We start from the raw sequence: 18,224 nt of genomic DNA, 5'->3' as shown, positions 1-18,224 counted from the left end.
TTTACATTTCCCAAAGCAGTGTATAAACATTCCTTTTTCTCCACAACCTCGCCAGCTCTGTTTTGTTGTTGTTGTTGTTGTTGTTTTACTTTTTATTAATAGCCATTCTGACTGGTGTGAGATTGTATCTCATTATGGTTTTAATTTGCATTTCTCTAATGACCAGTGATGTTGAACTTGTTTTCATGTGATTATTGGCCACATGTATGTCTACTCTTGAAGTGTCTGTTTATATCCTTTGCCCACTTTTAAATAGGGTTTTTTTTTTCTTGTAAGTTTGTTTGAGTTCCTTATAGATGCTGGATATTAGACCTTTGTCTGATGCACAGTTTGCAAAAATTTTCTCCTATTCTGTAGGTTGTCTGTGCACTCTGTTGATAGTTTCTTTTGCTGTGCAGAAGCTCTTAAGTTTAGTTATATCGCATCTGTCAATTTTTTCTTTTTTTGCAATTGCTCTGGCATCTTCATCATGAAACTTCTGACCATGCCTATGTTCTGAATGGTATTGCCTAGGTTGTCTTTCAGGGTTTTTATAATTTTGGCTTTTGCATTTAAATCTTTAATCCATCCTGAGTTAATTTCTGCATAGATTGTAAAGAAGGAGTCCAGTTTTAATCTTCTGCATATGTCTAGCCAGTTATCACAGCACCATTTATTAAATAGGGAATTCTTTCCCCATTGCTTGTTTTTTGCAGGTTTGTCAAAGATCAAATGGTTGTAGGTGTGTGTTCTTATTTCTGGGTTCTTTATTATGTTGCATTGGTCTATGTATCTGTTCTTGTACTAGTACCATGCTGTTTTGGTTACTGTACCCTTGTAGTATAGTTTGAAGTCAGGTAGTATAATGCCTCCAGCTTTGTTCTTTTTGCTTAGGATTGTCTTGGCTATTCAGGCTCTCTTTTGGTTCCACATGGATTTTAAAATAGTTTTCTCTAGTTTTGTGAAGAATGTCAATGGTAGTCTAATAGAAATCGCACTGAATCTATAAATTACTTGTTGCAATATGGCCATTTTCATGAAATTTATTCTTCCCATCCATGAGAATGGATGTTTTTTACTTGTTTTTGTCATCCCTGCTTTCTTTGAGCATGGTTTGATGTTCTTCTTGTAGAGATCTTTTACCTATCTAGTTAGCTGTATTCCTAGGTATTTCATTTTTTTGTGGTAATAGTGAATGAGTTTCTTCCTGGTTTGGCTCTCAGCTTGACTTTATTTGGTGTATAGAAATACTAGTGACTTTTGCACATTGATTTTGTATCCTGAAACTTTCCTGAAGTTGTTTATCAGCTTACGAAGCTTTTAGGCTGAGACTATGTGATGGTTTTCTAGATGTAGGATTATGCCATCTGCAAACAAATATAGTTTGACTTCCTCTCTTCCTATTTGGATGTTCTTTATTTCTTTCTATTGCCAGAACTTCCAATACTATGTTGAATAGGAGTGGTGAGAAAGAACACTCTTTTTTTTGTGCCAGTTGTCAAGGGGAATGCTTCCAGCTTTTGCCCATTCAGCATAATATTGGCTGTGGGTTTGTCACATATGGCTCTTATTATTTGAGGTATGTTTCTTCATTACCTAGTTTATTCAGAGTTTTTCACATGAAGATATGTTGAATTTTATTTAAAGCTTTTTCTGCACCTATTGAGATAATCATGTAATATTTTCTTTTTAGTTATATTTATGTGATGAATCACATTTATTGATTAGCATATGTTGAACCAACCTTGCATCCTGGGGATGAAGCCTACTTGATTGTGGTGGATAAGCTTTTTGATGTGCTTCTGGATTCATTTTGCCAGTATTTTACAGAAGATTTTTGTATTGATGTTCATCAAACATGTTGGCCTGAAGTTTTCTCTTCTTGTTATATCTCTGCCAGGTTTTGGTATCAAAATGACGCTGGCCTCATAAAATGTGTAAGGGAGGAGTCCTTCCTCTTAAATTTTTTTTTGAAAAGTTTCAGTAGGAATGGAACCAGCTCTTCTTTGTGCATCTGTTATAATTCAGCTATGAATCCATTTGGTTCTGTGCTTTTTCTTTCTTGGTAGGCTATTTATGACTGACTAAATTTCAGAGCTCTTTATTGGTCTGGTTAGGGATTCAAATTCTTCCTGGTTCAGTCTTGGGAGGGTGTATGTGTCCAAGAATTTATCACATCTTCTAGATTTTTTTTGGTTTATGTGCATAATATAAACTGGAAATAATATTCATAATATTATTCATAATGTTCTCTGATGGTTGTTTGTATTTCTTTGAGGTGAGTGGTAATATCTTCCTTGTCATTTTTGATTCTGTTTATTTGAATCTTCTCTATTTTCTTACTTATTAGTCTACCTAGCAAACTACCCATTTTATTAATTTTTTCAAAAAACAGCTCCTGAATTTGAATGATATGTTGTGTCTCAGTCTTCTTCAATTTAGCTCTGATTTTGGGTATTCTTTTGTCTTCTGCTGGCTTTGCAATTTGTTTGCTCTTGGTTCTCTCATTCTTTCAGATGTGATGTTAGGTTGTTAACTTGAGATCTTTTTAACTTTTTGTGGGCATTTAGTGCTATAAATTTCCCTCTTAATGCTGCCTCGGCTGTGTCCCAGAGATTCTAGTATGTTGTAGTTTTGTTCTCATTAGTGTCAAATAACTTCGTGAATTTTTGCCTTAATTTCATTATTTGGAGCAGGCTGCTGGCCAGCTCAGGTCTAGGTGCCTTCTCTGTGCCCTGCAGGCAGAAGCCATCACTCAGGGTGTGGGAAGATCTCCTGTTCTTTGCACAGCGTTAGTGCAAGAGCGGGGTGCTGGCAGATGTGGGGCTTGCTGACTCTGAACCCACCAAGGGTCAGTCTGCAATGGTGGTCAGTGGGGGTAGGGGATGTGCTGCACTCCTGTGTGCTGGCAAGTGAAGCAAAAATTTTCTGTGCAGACATGTACCAGCAAATTGATGTGCAGAGTTGCTGCACATGGGGGAAGCTGCAGTATGGGGAGAAAATATGTGGGCTGGTGTGTGAGTGTAGGAGCCGCCTCAGTGGAGATCTCCACCAGTCAGGCACAATGCACCAGCACAGAAGCTATGGTATGGGCCCTCAGGGAACCCACAACTGCCCTGTAAGCGCATGAGACTAGGCTGGGTTCCCAGGAGAGGCCAGCACACCAAGGAGTGCTCAGGTCTGACCAGTCCCATCTGATGTGCAAGACTGCCCTGCAGAGATCAGGTCTGACAATTTCCTAGGGCTAAGTCTCTTATGGGAGCAAGTCGGGCTTAGAAAGATGGCTGGCCCTGGACATGCTCTGCTACAGATGCTCCTGCACCAAACTCTGTGGGCTCCACATCAGCTGGCTTGCTGCTAACCCACTTTGCTTGTCTATTGGTTGCTCCACACCAGAGAGATGTGAGTTAGCAACTGCTTAGTGCAATTATCCCTGGATGTAGGGTCTGTGCTGTAAAAGCAAGCTAGGGGTTCCCTGTCTGGTGATAAGCAGTGGGGGATATGTGGGACCCATGGGAGACAGACTGTCTTCCTCTCCTTGGGTTGACTGCAGCTTGTTGGAAGTGTGGATAAGGCACTCAGGGTATTTGCTCCTTCATTAGTCAAAAGGTGGCAAGGGCAGTTCAATTGTAGAGGCAGCATTAGAGTGTCTTTCAGTTGCCCCTGGAGGGTCTGTCCAGGGAGTTGCTGAGCTGCTACTGGCTCAGTAGCTTTAGTAGGGGGTGGCTAGAGGCTCAGGCCTGGAGGAACTATTCAGTTGGGAAATATGGGAATGGGCACCCATTTAAAATTCTGTCCACTTTTCTGTAGGGCAGCTGCAGTATGCTGGGGGTCCACTTCAGTCCCTAGTCAACTCGGATTTTCCAGTACCTGGAAGTAACACCAGTGAAGGCTGCCAAACAGCAAAGATGGCAGCCTGCACCTCCCTCTGGCAGCTCTGTCCCAGGAAAGTACAGGCCTGTTGCCAGCCAGAATGCTGGCTAAACACCCCTGTTCAGAATTCTCACCCAGTCAGTAGGAACAAGATTGAGGACCCACTTAAAAAGTTAGTCTAGCCATGTCCCAGGGAGGTGCAATGCTGCTACCAGTGCCTGGCTGGAATTTTAAGTCTTATCCTGTGAGGCACCGTGGAAGCGGGGCCTGCAAACTATCACTGCTCATCCCCCTAAATTCAAACTCTTTTCTAGGGGTATGCACGGGGTCTAAACTCCCACTTTGCTGGAGTTGCAGCTACTTTTGCCAGACAGCCAGAGTATCTAAAGCTCCTGGGTCTCTACGTGTGCCTGAGTGGCTGTTCTGCCAAGACTCCACTCAGATTGAAGGCCTTAGTGGAGTGGGTTCATGTCGGCGGGCTCCTGACCCGAGAGTTGCAAAGATCAGTGGGACTAGTGTGGGTTCCCAGGGTTGCACATTCACTCACCACTTCCTAGGGCAGGGGAGGTCCCCTTGGTTCCGTATTGCTGCCTGGTGGATGATCATCCTGCCTTGCTTTTCTCCATTCTCCATGGGTCAAGTTGTTTTCTTGATTAGTCCTAACGCAAGTATATGGATGTTTCAGTTGAAGGTGCTGTGTTCCCTTGCCCCTTTCGTCTCTCTCCGTGAGAGCCATGCACGCTAGCTGCTTTCAGTCGGCTATCTTAGCCACTTCCCAGAAATTATTTTTAAAGAATGCTAAACTCTGTTTGAAAAAGGCGGGTTCAATTCACTGTCAGATAAACAAAATATAAAATTATTATTTTTTCTATACCTTCAACAATCCTGGATCTTAGAAAATTTTGTTTTATTTTTTACAATATGATAGTTGTAAGATTTATCTTATTGTATTAACTGTCACTTCTCTCCCAGCTAGGATAAAAATAATTGTATACATTTATTTCTCCTCTAACATTTCTTTTCCGTGAAATGTTCATCTTTTTGTGTATCGATTTATTGTGCTTGTTTTGCTTGTCTAGAACTTATGAATTATTCACATCTCTATTCATATTTTGGTAATATTTTCTTCAAGTCTGTCACATATGTTTTGATTTTGTTGATTCCATTTGAAAACTGTTACCCTACAGATTATTTTTAAATAAACTCCTGCACTGAAAAATGTGTTAATACTTATCATTGTGACTCATCTTTCCAATACTAATATATGGAGATATAGATAAGAGTTACCTTTTTCTCTACCCTACTATTTTTAGCATAGAGCAGTAACATAATGATTAATGATGTCGTATTAAAATCTGAGTGCTTTAGTTCAAATCCCAGCTCTACCACTTAGCAGCTACACAACACTGGAAAAGATACTCATCTCTTTGTGAAGATAATACTCCAATGTCATAAAACAGTTGTAAATATTAAATTTGTTACAATGTTTTACTTAAGTTTTTTTTGTTTAGAGATTACATTTGTTGTTTAAAGGAGTATAAGGCAATGATTGGCACATACCTTAGTTGTTACTTAATTTATCAATAAATTATTTTAAAATGAGAAAATATTTTATTATTTTTTTCCAACAATTGATAAAAAACATATTACATATGTAAATACTTAATCAGTATTAAATTATAGATGGGGTAGAACTGTGAATTAAAAATATTGCACAACATTATTGGAAGTTTTGACTAAGAAACAAAAGAATACTAACTTTAAAAATAATTGGCAAAATTGTCTTTATGTTAAATTGACATAATTTGCACTTTGGGAACTCATTTACCCTAAAATAAAAATATAAATGATTACATGGAAGGCAAATATTTTTAAAGATTTATTAGTATAAATGTTTTGTATATATGACTCTTTTATATATACTATTAAACATATGTTTCTTGAGAGAGGCCCTCTTGTATTGCTACTTTGCTAATATTTTAAATTATTGTCATATATTTATCTTTCATTTCTTTTTCCTTCAAAATATTTACATATTTTTAACAAGGTTGTAACTTTATAGAATGAATTGGTGAGTTGTTTATTTTATTGGTTTTCTCTTAATCCATAACAAATTACCATGAAGTTAAGTAATGGAAAATATCCCCCATTTTTTATGTTCATTTCTGTGGGTCAGGAATTCAGGTAGGGGTTAGCTGGGTCCCACACCAGCCTAAAATCAAGTGTTGGCCAGAACAGTAGCATCTCCAGAGGCTTGAAGTCTTCTTTCAACCTCATTAAAGCTGTTAGTAAAATTTAGTTTCTTGAGGTTGTAGGACTGAGGTTACAATTTTTTGACTGGTTGTCAATGGAGGACTATCCTCACCCTTCAGAAGCTGCCCACAGGATTCTGCACCTCTTTACAAGGCTGTTTGCTTCTTCAAGGTTAACAAGAGAAGCTGCTGCAGCTTTAAGTCTCTGTGACTTCTTTCACCTCTGTACTCTAAATACTCTTTAAAAGGACTCCCTTGAGGACTTCCACACCAATGAGTGTGGGGCCATCTTAAAATTTTGCTTAGGCCATTTATCTATTTCTATCATTTGGGTTATTATGAATAACTTAGATATTCTGCATCTCTTTCATCTATATTGTCAAAATTATTGGCATAAAATTATTCTTAGTTTTGAAAACTTTTTAATACTATAAATAATCTACTGCTGTCCTTTCTTATATTTTCATCATTTATTTTTTACTCTTTAAAATTCTGCTCAGTTTTGCCAATGATATATTTATTTGCCTTTTCAAATAACTAGTATTTGTTGTTATTTATCACTCTAGTGCTACCTCGTAAGACTCATTAGATGTATGATTTTTTTTATCTCACCCTTCACATCTCTTAATTTTTTTGTATTTGTCATTTTAATACATTATTATGTAGCACCTTGTCCTATTGACTTTGACAGGAGTTGAACCACCTGGAGAGGGATAGCTGAGCTGCCAGGTGTCAGATTAGCAGATTAAAAATGGAAGTAATGGTAAAGTTTTTAATTACTTATTATAATAGTATAAGCAAGAGGCTAAACCAGAGAAAATTTAGACTCTTCCTTGTTTTATTTTTCCCCCACCGAACAGCATACCAGTGGAGGGTCAAGTGAGGGTCAAGTGAAGCTTGACCCTCCAACACAGATGTGAGGTTCATCCCACTGCCACGAGAACCTTGAACAAAAGGCTCCTGAAGTTTTGTGGGTTATAGGGTGGGGAGGGGGGATAAGGGCAAGAAAAATGGGGGGAAGGGCTAGGAGTAGAAAGCTCTGAGTACTATGTAAGATTGGGAAACAGTGTCTTAAAGGTTCTACTCTTCCTCTTCCATAGAAAGGTCTTATCAGTGGTGGCAAAGCCTCAGGTAAAGAGACCTAGAGATAAAGGTGCCTGGCTAGGAATGTAAATGTGTATAACAGCATGGCTGGCAAGAGAAGCCTGAGTCCTTGACTGCAGCTCCCCTCTGAGACTGTCAGTGTTGACTGTGCATCAAGCCTTTGTAATTAGCCATAATTCAGCCTGAAAAATCACACGTGGTTTTTTTGGTCAGGACACAGATTCCTCAGAATTAGATATGATTTTCAATTTCTTACTTTTCTTTTTATGTATTACTAGTCTATTTTAACCTATTTATTGAATGTTTATCTTATTTTAATGATTATTTTAATTTTCACACATTTAATTTTCTGTCTAGATGATTTGTAGTTTTATTATTATTTATTAATATTATCTATTAATCATCTGTTATTGTCATTATCTTTTAATGATTTATTTTTTGCATTCTATTTGCTCTAGTCTTTAAAAAAACTTAACCTAGTTTTATAATGCCCTCTGTATTTTTAATATTATTTTCATTTACTCTAGTATAATTGTGCTTCTTCTTTTATCCACTGACTAAATGGAACCTTAGAGGATTTACTCATATCTGTATGTATGTATGTGTATGAATGTCCATGTGTGTGTTTAACAGAACATTAGCAAGATCTGAAACCAATCCAATAGTCCCATTGACATTTTTTTTTGATAAACATAGAAATTGATCTTTCTGGTCTTAAGGCTTGAAACTTTCATTTGTTTTATCTGAGTTCCTTTATCAGAAGACCCTCAGCCTCTTCAAAAGTATCACAGAAATAAAACTCACTATATCACAGCACCCAGACAATGAGATACCAGGACTCTCATTTGTCATGATTGCTTCCTTACTCCTCTCAGTTCATATTTTCCTAACTGACCACCTGCTTGTTGTTAACCAACTATTCTTCCTCACCCTTCCCTAGTTCCTGTTTCCTCACACAGCTGCATTCTTTCCTTGCTGTAAAAACCCTTAACTTAAGTCAGTCAGGGAGATGGATTTGAGATTGATCTCGTCGGCGACAGCACTGGATTAAAACCTTCTTTCCTGGGAATATTCATTGTCTCAGTGATTGGCTTTCTGTGTGGTGAGGAGCAGGACCTAGACCAAACCCCTGGTGTTTTGGTAACAGACATAAAAGTCATTCACGTGATCTTGTTTGTAAATAAAATATTGTGGGGTAATTTCCCATTCATCTCAGTCTGTACTGTGTGTCATTTATTGGGTCAAGACCAATTTTGGGGTTTGTTCCTTAACCTGGAGTCTCAGTACACATGCACACAGCAAATTTTGTTACCACACTCATGCAGAATAGCGTCTAAGGCTTCATAAATCTTGTGTGTTATTCCATTTACATCCAGAATGGGCAACCAATTTCTAGAATATATCTCTAGGATGATGAATAGAATTTTTCTAATCCTAATTCATGAATGAGAGATAGCTTTATCCTGACAGTTTTCTTTGCTTTATGTAGAGAATAACGTCCTGCTACTTAACCATCTGTGGGGCTTGAGACTTGCAATCTTGATAGCCCCTATTTCTTACTCTGCCTTTGGGATACCTCTTTGTTTATGGCAGATCATGTTCTTGCTCTTGAGCTCACCTACACTTCTCTTTTCATAATTTATCCATTACTTATGTATGTTTTAGGCGGTAATGGTTTTGTTCGGCCTCCATTGGGTGTAAAATTCAGACAGGACTTACTTTTTTTCTCATATAAAACATTTGTCATTTAGAATGACCTGGAACTAATGAGAGAAAGTTATAGAAAATGATTTCAATTCTTTCATCTACTCACATATTTTGAGTAAATTAAGGCCCATTAAAAAACCAAGCAGTTAAATGTTAAAAGCAGTTAAACTGACTTCACTTTTCTGTCTGAAGAGGGCACTGGATTGGGAATACTGAAAACACAGTTCTAGATCTAGCTCTCCCACTCCTGATATATCTTTAGTAAACTCAATGGATCCAATGTGTCAATTTACAAAATAAAGAAGAGGAAAAAAACTGATATCTGTGGTATGTCTGAGCTTTAAGCTATTATAAATACATAATTCTAAAATCATACCTAACTTTCATTTTCTCCAATTCAGAACTAACTCTTGTTCACATACCGTTATTTTGCTTCTTCATTGGTCTTCATTATAGTAAATTCTATTAGTATTACTGTTCAGGCTGGATTAAAATACATAAATATGACTTTTGTGTGTTCATGCATCTTTAAAAATTTGTGGTCATATGAAAGAAAACTGTTGAAGAATAATATTATAGTTCCCAAATAAACTAGATCTATAGCTACATGCTTTTAGATGTGGAAGATGGGGAGCCTTTGGTAATACATAATTCAAAATAGACTAGATTTGCTGCAGTTACGACAATTCTAAAATAACTGTCTTAAAATAAGTAATGTTTATTTCTTATCCATGTGATATGTCTGCAATGGATTTGGGGAAAATGCTTGCGATTGTCCTTTAAAGATCCAGGCTGATGCAGGCCATCCTCATGCATCCTAACACTATCATTTTGGTGGGGAAAGCATTATAACACATAGTATAACATCCTTTAAAGCTTTTGCTCTGAAATGACAATAACCATTCCATCAAATTCTTCAGCATCTAAAACACCACAGGGCAATACCCAATTTCACAGGGGTGGGAAGGAACAATATTACTGATACTAGAAAGGGGTAGGGAAGTGCTGGGAGGAGAAGAGTGGGGTCCCTGGAGAGATCTCCACTCCTGGGCCTGTGCCCACATACCTAGGTGAGGACAGGCACTCCCGTTTTTGTGCTCAAATGTTGCATTTTCTAAGACCACCCTGACCTGCCACACTCCCACTCTGTGCCTATAAAAACCCTGAGACTCTAGCAGGCAGAGACACAAGCAGCTAGACATCGAGAGGAACACACCAGCAGAGGAAAACACAAGCAACTGGATGTCGAGAGGAGCATGCTGGCAGAACACACTGAGACACCAGCAGATTCTGGCAGGCTGACCGGCAGAATGACACAGAGTTGTTGGCCAGGGTAGTGGGAGGAGAGCCCAGCTGCTGGTCAGCCCGACTCCAGGTGAAAACCACCTTCCACTCCATCCCCTTTCTGGTTTGGTTCTCTATCCATCTGCTGAGAGCTACCACTACTCAATAGAACCTTGAACTCATTCTCCAAGCCCACGTGTGATCCGATTCTTTTGGTACACCAAGGCAAGAAACCGTGGGATACAGAAAGTCTCCTGTCCTTGCGATTAGGCAAGGGGTCTAATTAAACTAACACAAGCCACCTAAACTAAAACTGAAGAAGCTAAACTGAAATAAGACACTGTAACACACAACCACGGGTACTGCAGCTGTAAACATTCATCCCTAGCCGCTGCTATGGGGTCAGAGCCCCACAGTCTGCCCATCTGAATGCTCCCCCTCGAGGTGTGAGCATCGGGGCACTGAATGAAGAAGCCAGCCACAGCCCCATCGCATGCCCTGCTAGAGGGACAAGGGAACATTTCCCATTTCATTACCACATGTCCAGAACTAGAAGGCAAATGCCTGTGTATATACCAAAATCAACTACATACTAACGGGTTTTGATTTTTCAGTGACATATTGGTACCATGATTAGGACACATCCTTATCTTTATATAGCTGAGTTAAAGAAGGTAACATGTATTAACCTGTTTGCTTATGCAGACATGTTGTCTGACATTGTGTTTACTGTGAGTGTTTTACTATCAAATACATTTAGAAATAAAATTTCACTAAAATTTTTAAAAATCACCATCATTTGTGGAATAAAAGTTAATTTGAGCTCTGAGGAGGAAAATGGTGCTTCAAATAAGTGTTATTGTTTAAAGGGTGAAAGATAAATCAGAGCTTAATAGGTTGGGATCAAAAAGCAGATTTACTGTAATAAAAATCAACAGTTTAATAAACATTTTTTCAAACAGAATAAAGTTCCTTTGTAATCACTATTGCCAGGATTCAATGCTAAAACACACATACCAAATAGCAAAAGCAGAATAATTTAATGTAGCAAATCATTCTCACTATGTTATCTGAGACAACTTGAATAAAAAAACAGCAAATCAGAATATGTGTGCTACTTCTTTGTCCTTGTATTTGTAGAAGAGTATATGTTAGACAGTGATCTGTCTACTTCAAGGATAAATAACAGAAAGACAATTTGCATGTTAAGATTTCATATTAAAGTGGACTCATAACTATGAGCTCATGTCCTTCCTGCTGACATATGGTCTCAATATGGTTACCGTTGTTTCCTGTCTTTATGTGTTACGAAAGGGCTATAAAATTGCCACCTGCAGACTTATTCTTAAAATGGATTAGGTTTCTTTACTTGCCCACACTGTAATATGGAGTCAAATTAAAATATTTTAAATTATGTGTAAATCGTAAAAATGCTATTCCGCTCCTCAGTTTTGCCGTGCCATGTAGAATTGAATCCTAAGAGAAAACTGGCCCAAACTCCATAAAAACACTTCACTGTCGTTTAAATTTTTTTTTCTTAATTCTGAATACTGATCTCATTATTATTCATTCCCTCAGTAGCTGTCTTGACATTTTCTAGTTCTTTTCCAGCCTTTTTAGTCATTGTCAGCAGGAAAGGGACAGAATCAGGATAAAATACTTTTGATTGGACGTCAGAGGGCTACATTGTTTAAGAAAGGTAAGTTGAATATAGACCAGCCCAATCAGGGACTGCAGACAGCAACAAACATACCTCATGACATAAAGAAGACACTTTCATTAAAAGTCTGACATTATTTCTACAATTAATTTTATATAAGTTTCAGCACACAAGTAAAAATAAATACAATCACAAGGAGTCAACATCAGATGATTGAAATTTAAGAAAAAAATACAATCAGTGCCACAAGAAATTCAGACATGAAGTTATTAGAATCAGTTGTTAAAATAAGTATACTCGTATGTTTCAGAAAACATGCAAATTTGGCAAAAAAGTAGAAACTGCAAGCAAAGAACTAAACAAAAATTATCTCCAAAACAACAAAATATTGAAAAAATCAAAAATTCAGTAAATTAACTTACCAAAAAATCCAATACATCTGAATAATTAGTTCACTAGAGAAAGAAGAGATTATGTAAAATAAAATGTAAAGAAACAAAATATATATATATAAAAGAGACTGTAAAAGACATGGGGATACAGTGAGGGGTTTTAAGAAATGCGTAATTAGAATCCCAGAATAAGAAGAGACAAAGACAGAGCAATACTTAAAAGAGAAAATGGGTAAAAATAACATTATCATGAAGCAAAAAGCTAATGCAATTAAAAGGTAAAAATATCAATTTGCATGACCCTAATATGATAATCTTACAATATATAAATAAAAAATTAGAGTAACTAGTAGCAAAAAGGAAGCAAGCCTACAGTTATAGTGGGAGATTTTAATGTACTCCTTATCCATTGTCCTCTGACGTACTTCAAAGTGTCCTGCAGCTGTACAGATTTTGGCCTTATTTTCATACTATCACAGGTTGTTGTAACCTCTGTTTAATAGTTATTTGAGATGCACTGTTTACTTATTTACTTATAATGAACTCCATGCAAAATTAACTGCTTCAAGGAAAGAATTTACCATGAAGCTAATAAAGTTTAAGTGTCAAGACCCCTCGCTTCCACAGACTCCATACAAGACTCTGAACCTAATTTTGTGTTCATAATTTTGTATTATTCTTTTCAGCAGCCTATTAGCTACATACTGCATACATTTGACTCCTCACAAAACTTGTATTCACCTCTGACATAGCCAAAGATCATGTATAGACATACATCTTAGTTTCAAAAACTCTGATCTTGTATTTATAGCATTCTGTGATCTCATCTTTCTTCTGTCAGTTTAATGGAGGCTATATTGAGAACTTTTCTTTAAAGAACTTTAGTTATAAATGAAAGATTGTTAATCTGATCTTATTCTCTGAAGCGTTTCATAGTGCCTAAAAGAAAGCATTTATTCTGACATTTTTGAGAAAGTTTTGCATCCATTGGCTTATCTTTTGATGAGGCTTAATTTTTAAAGCCACATCATAGAAGATCTTCAGTTTGAAATGCAGAAATAATTAGCTTTTTTTAATCTTATGAAGACTCAAATGAATAGATCATCAGATAATTTAGATTTGGGGAACTAGAAAGAAAAATGTTTTCTTGACAGAAATAAACTCACATTCATTTCAGCTTGTTAATGAGGAATTCAATCAGGCTTTATTAAAAGAAACAGGAGGTAGCCTTATATGCCAAAATTCTGACCTTCAATAGTGCCCCAAAGCTAAACTCAGTTTGCATGTGGTATGTTTTCCAAAGTAAAGTAGGTGATAATACTACCAAATATTATCATAGACTACTAAAAGTTACAGCTTTCTAATTTATAGCATCTGTGTATTTGCTGTTTCTTTCTCAACTGATAAAAAATGCCTTTCTTGGGCTATTTTATGATAGCATTTCACTGCTTGAATCCAAATATTTTATTAGGTAGAATTGAGGTTAACACACTATAAAGAAAAGTCACAAAAATACAATGTCTTAAAAACTGTAATGCTAATTCCTTCTCACTTATGTTCTGTGAAGTGATCAGGGCTGGCACAGAGAATCAAGATTCCTGATTTAACTAGCTCATTGACTATTAAAACAAGTGTTTTCTCTATCACTTTATTGCTGCTTTGTTAATTTTACTTGTATCAGATATGATAGATTAATCCTACATTATAAATAAAGAATAATATTTCTTCAATATATCTTGCCTGCAAAAGTCCAGAGAGGTATAATAGCACTTAGTACATATTTTTAAATGAATTAAATGCTTAAGAAATGATACAAAACATGAATCTATCCTTGATATAAAGATCTTGCATAGACAAACATCTTAATCCTGAAATCTCTGATTTTTCATTGACAATATACTGTTATCTTCTTATCCCTGTTTTATTAGCATTATGGGGGCTCTACTGAAGACATTTTTTTAATGTGGCTTTACTCAGGCACAATGGCACATGCCTGTAGTCCCAGCTACTCAGGAGGCTAAGTCAGGAGGATCACTTGAGCCTGGTAGTTCGAGGCTGTGGTGAGCTATGATTGGGCCACTGCACTCCAACCTGAGCGACACAGCAAGACTCCATCTATCTCTAAAACAAAACAAAAAGACCTTAGTCTAAAAATCTGACAGGCATGGTAGCTTACATCTGTAATAGCAGCCCTGTGAGAGGCCAAAGAGGGAGCATTGCTTGAAGCCAAGAGTTCATGACCAACCTTGGCAACAGAGTGAGATCCTGTCTCCACCAAAAATTGAAAAATTAGCTGGGCATGGTGGTGCTTGCTTGCATTTCCAGCCACTTGGGGTGGGGGGCTGAAGTGGGAGGATCACTTGAGCCCCTGCGATTAAGGCTGTAGTGAGTCATAATCATGCTAACCACACTGTAACCTGGGTGAGAGAGCTAAACTCTTGTCTCAAAAAAATAAAAATACAAATAAATAAAAAAAAGTGGTTTACTTATGAATGGGCATACTTATGAATGCTCATGTCATGAATGTCATAAATAAGTTAAATGTAGAGTTAGTATTTGATGACAGAGCAATCGGATTTCAAACTTTTTCCTTTCTATCATGGAATTTTAATTAATTATTATGTGTTGCTGACTAACATTCTCAGCCCTTTAAAAACAGAAACTTGGGGCCTGGGCAAGATGACCTAATAGGAACAGCTCCGATCTGCAGCTCCCAGTGAGACCAACGCAGAAGGCAGGTGATTATTGCATTTCCAACTGAGATATCTGATTCATCTCATTGGGACTGGTTAGACAGTGGGTGCAGCCCACAGAGGGCGAGTAGAAGTAGGGTAGGGCATTGCCTCACCCAGGAAGCTCAAGGAGTCAGGGAACTCCCTCCCCTAGCCAACAGAAGCCATGAGGGGTGGTGCTATCAGGTTAAAATACTACACTTTTCCCATGGTCTTCACAACCTCAGACCAGGAGATTCTCTTGGGTGCCTACATGTCACTGGGGCTGGGCGGCCATTTGGGCAGACATTGAGCTAGCTGCAGGATTTTTTTTTTTTTCCTATTGTTGCCTGGAATGCCAGCAAGACAGAACAGTTCACTCCCCTGGAAAGGGGGCTGAAGCCAGGGAGCCAAGTGGTCTTGCTCAGTGGATCCCACCCCCATGAAACCAAACAAGCTAAGATCCACTGGCTTGAAATTCGCACTGACAGCACAGCAGTCCAAAGTTGACCTGGGACACTGGAGCTTTGTGGGGGGAGGGGCATCCACCATTACTGAGGCTTGAGTAGGTGGTTTTCCCCTCACAGTGTAAACAAAGTCTCCAGGAAGTTTGGACTAGACGAAGCCCACTACAGCACAGCAAAGCCGCTGTAGCCACACTGCCTCTCTAGATTCCAGCCCTCTGGGCAGGGCATCTCTGAAAGAAAGGTACAGTCCTAGTCAGGGGCTTACAGATAAAACTCCTATTTCCCTGGGACAGAGCACCTGAGGGAAGGGGTTGCTGTGGGCACAGCTTCAGCAGACTTAAACATTCTTGCCTGCCAGGTCTGAAGAGAGCAGAGGATCTCCCAGCACAGTGCTCAAGCTCTGCTAAGGGACAGACTGCCTCCTCAAGGGGGTTGCTGATCCCCATGACTCCTGACAGGGAGACACCTCCCAGCAGGGGTCAACAGACACCTCATACAGTAGAGCTCTGGCTGGCATCTGGCAGGTGCCCCTCTGGGGTGAAACTTCCAGAGGAAGGAGCAGGCAGCAATCTTTGCTCTTCTGCAGCCTCCAATGGTGATACCCAGGCAAACAGAATCTAGAGTGGGCCTCCAGAAAACGCCAGCAGACCTGCAAAAGAGGGCCCTGACTGTTAGACGGAAAACTAAGAAACAGAAAGCAATGACATCAACATCAACAAAAAGGACACCCAAGCAAAAACCCCATCCAAAGATCATCAGCATCAAAGATCAAAGGTAGATAAATCCACAAATATGAGAAAAAAACAGAGCAAAAATGCTGAAAATTCCAAAAACCAGAATGCCTCTTCTCCTCCAAAGGATCACAACTTCTCGCCAGCAAGGGCACAAAACTGGGTGAAGAATGAGTTTGACTAATTGACAGAAGTAGGCTTCAGAAGTTAAGTAATAACAAGCTCCTCTGAGCTAAAGGAGCATGCTCTAATCCATTGCAAGGAAGCTAAGAACCTTGATAAAAGGTTACAGGAACTGCTAACTAGAATAACCAGTTTAGAGAAGAAGATAAGTAACCTGATTGAGCCGAAAAACACAGCACGAGAAGTTCATGAAGCATACACAAGTATCAATAGTCAAATCTGTCAAGTGGAATAAAGGATATCAGAGATTGAAGATCAACTTAATGAAATAAAGTGTGAAGACAAGATTAGAGAAAAAAGGATGAAAAGTAATGAACAAAGCCTCCAAGAAATATGGAGCTATGTGAAAAGACTAAATCTACATTTGATTGGTGTACCTGAAAGTGATGGGGAGAATGGAACCAAGTTGGGAAACACTCTTCAGCACATTATCTAGGGGAACTTCCCCAACCTAGCAAGGCAGGCCAACAACCGAATTCAGGAAATACAGAGAACATGACAAAGATAGTTCTTGAGAAGAGCAACTCTAAGACATATAATCATCAGATTCATCAAGGTTGAAATGAAGGAAAAAATGTTAAGGGCAGCCACAGAAAAATGTTGGGTTACCCACAAAGGAAAGCCCACCACACTAACAACAGAACTCATTGCAGAAACCCTACAAGCCAGAAAAGAATTTTTAACCCAGAATTTCATATCCAGCCAAACTAAACTTTGTAAGTGAAGGAGAAATAAAATCCTTTACAGACAAGCAAATGCTGAGAGATTTTGTCACCACCAGGCCTGCCTTACGAGAGCTCATGAAGGAAGCACTAAATATGGAAAGGAAAAACTGGTACCAGCCACTGCAAAAACATACCAAAATGTAAAGATCATTGACACTATGAAGAAACTGCATCAACTAATGGGCAAAATAACCAGCTAGCATTATAATGACAAAATCAGATTCACACATAACAATCTTAGCCTTAAATGTAAATGGGCTAAACTCCCCAATTAAAAGACACAGACTAGCAAACTGGATACAGAGTCAAGACCCATTGGTGTGCTGTATTCAGGAGACTCATCTCACGTGTAAAGACAAACATAGCCTCAAAATAAAGGGATGAAGGAGTATTTACCAAGAAAATGAAAAGCAAAAATAAAGCTGAGGTTGCCATCCTAGTCTCTGATGAAACAGACTTTAAACCAATGAAGATCAAAAAAGACAAAGAAGGGCATTACACAAGAGTAAAGGGATCAATGCAACAGGAAGAGCTAAGCATCCTAAATATGTATGCACCCAATATAGGAGCACCCAGATAGATAAAACAAGTTCTTAGAGACCTACACAGAGATTTAGACTCCCACGCAATAATAGTAAGAGACTTTAACACCCCACTGTCAATATTAGACAGAACAATGAGACAGAAAATTAACAAGGATATTCAGGACTTAAACTAAGCTCTGGACCAAGCAAACCTAATAGGCATCCACAGAACTCTCCATCCTAAATCAACAGAATATACATTCTCCTCAGCAACACTTAGCACTTATTCTAAAATTGACCACATAATTGGAATTAAAACACTCCACAGCAAATGCAAAAGAACAGAAATCATAACAAACAGTCTCTCAGACCACAGTGCAATCAAACTAGAACTCAGGATTAAGAAACTCACTGAAAACAGCAAAACTACATGGAAACTGAACAACCTGCTTCTGATTGACTGGGTAAATAACAAAATTAAGGTAGAAATAAATAAGTTTTTTGAAACCAATGACAACAAAAACATAATGTACCAGAATCTCTGGGACACAGCTAAAGCAGTGTTTACAGAAAAATTTATAGCACTAAATGCCCACCTGAGAAAGTGGGAAAGATCTAAAATCGATGCCCTA

At 38.1% G+C, this 18,224-nt stretch overlaps 1 long non-coding RNA gene across 33 annotated transcripts in view; it reads right to left on the bottom strand.

The window, feature by feature from the left end:
• The window catches only part of LINC02377 (long intergenic non-protein coding RNA 2377), a 338,568-nt gene that overhangs the window by 299,395 nt on the left and 20,949 nt on the right, over positions 1 to 18,224 (bottom strand). For 2 of the 33 annotated variants that reach the window (NR_183935.1, NR_183951.1), the window contains exon 2: positions 4,400 to 4,511. The exons of the other annotated variants lie outside the window; for them this stretch is intronic. This is a non-coding gene — a long non-coding RNA (long intergenic non-protein coding RNA 2377). The remainder of the gene's footprint in view (positions 1 to 4,399; positions 4,512 to 18,224) is intronic. 33 annotated transcript variants of the gene reach the window in all.

Source organism: Homo sapiens, chromosome 4 (assembly GCF_000001405.40).
Source record: "Homo sapiens chromosome 4, GRCh38.p14 Primary Assembly".
NCBI lineage: Eukaryota > Metazoa > Chordata > Mammalia > Primates > Hominidae > Homo > Homo sapiens.
This window is presented reverse-complemented; position numbering and strand designations above follow the sequence as displayed.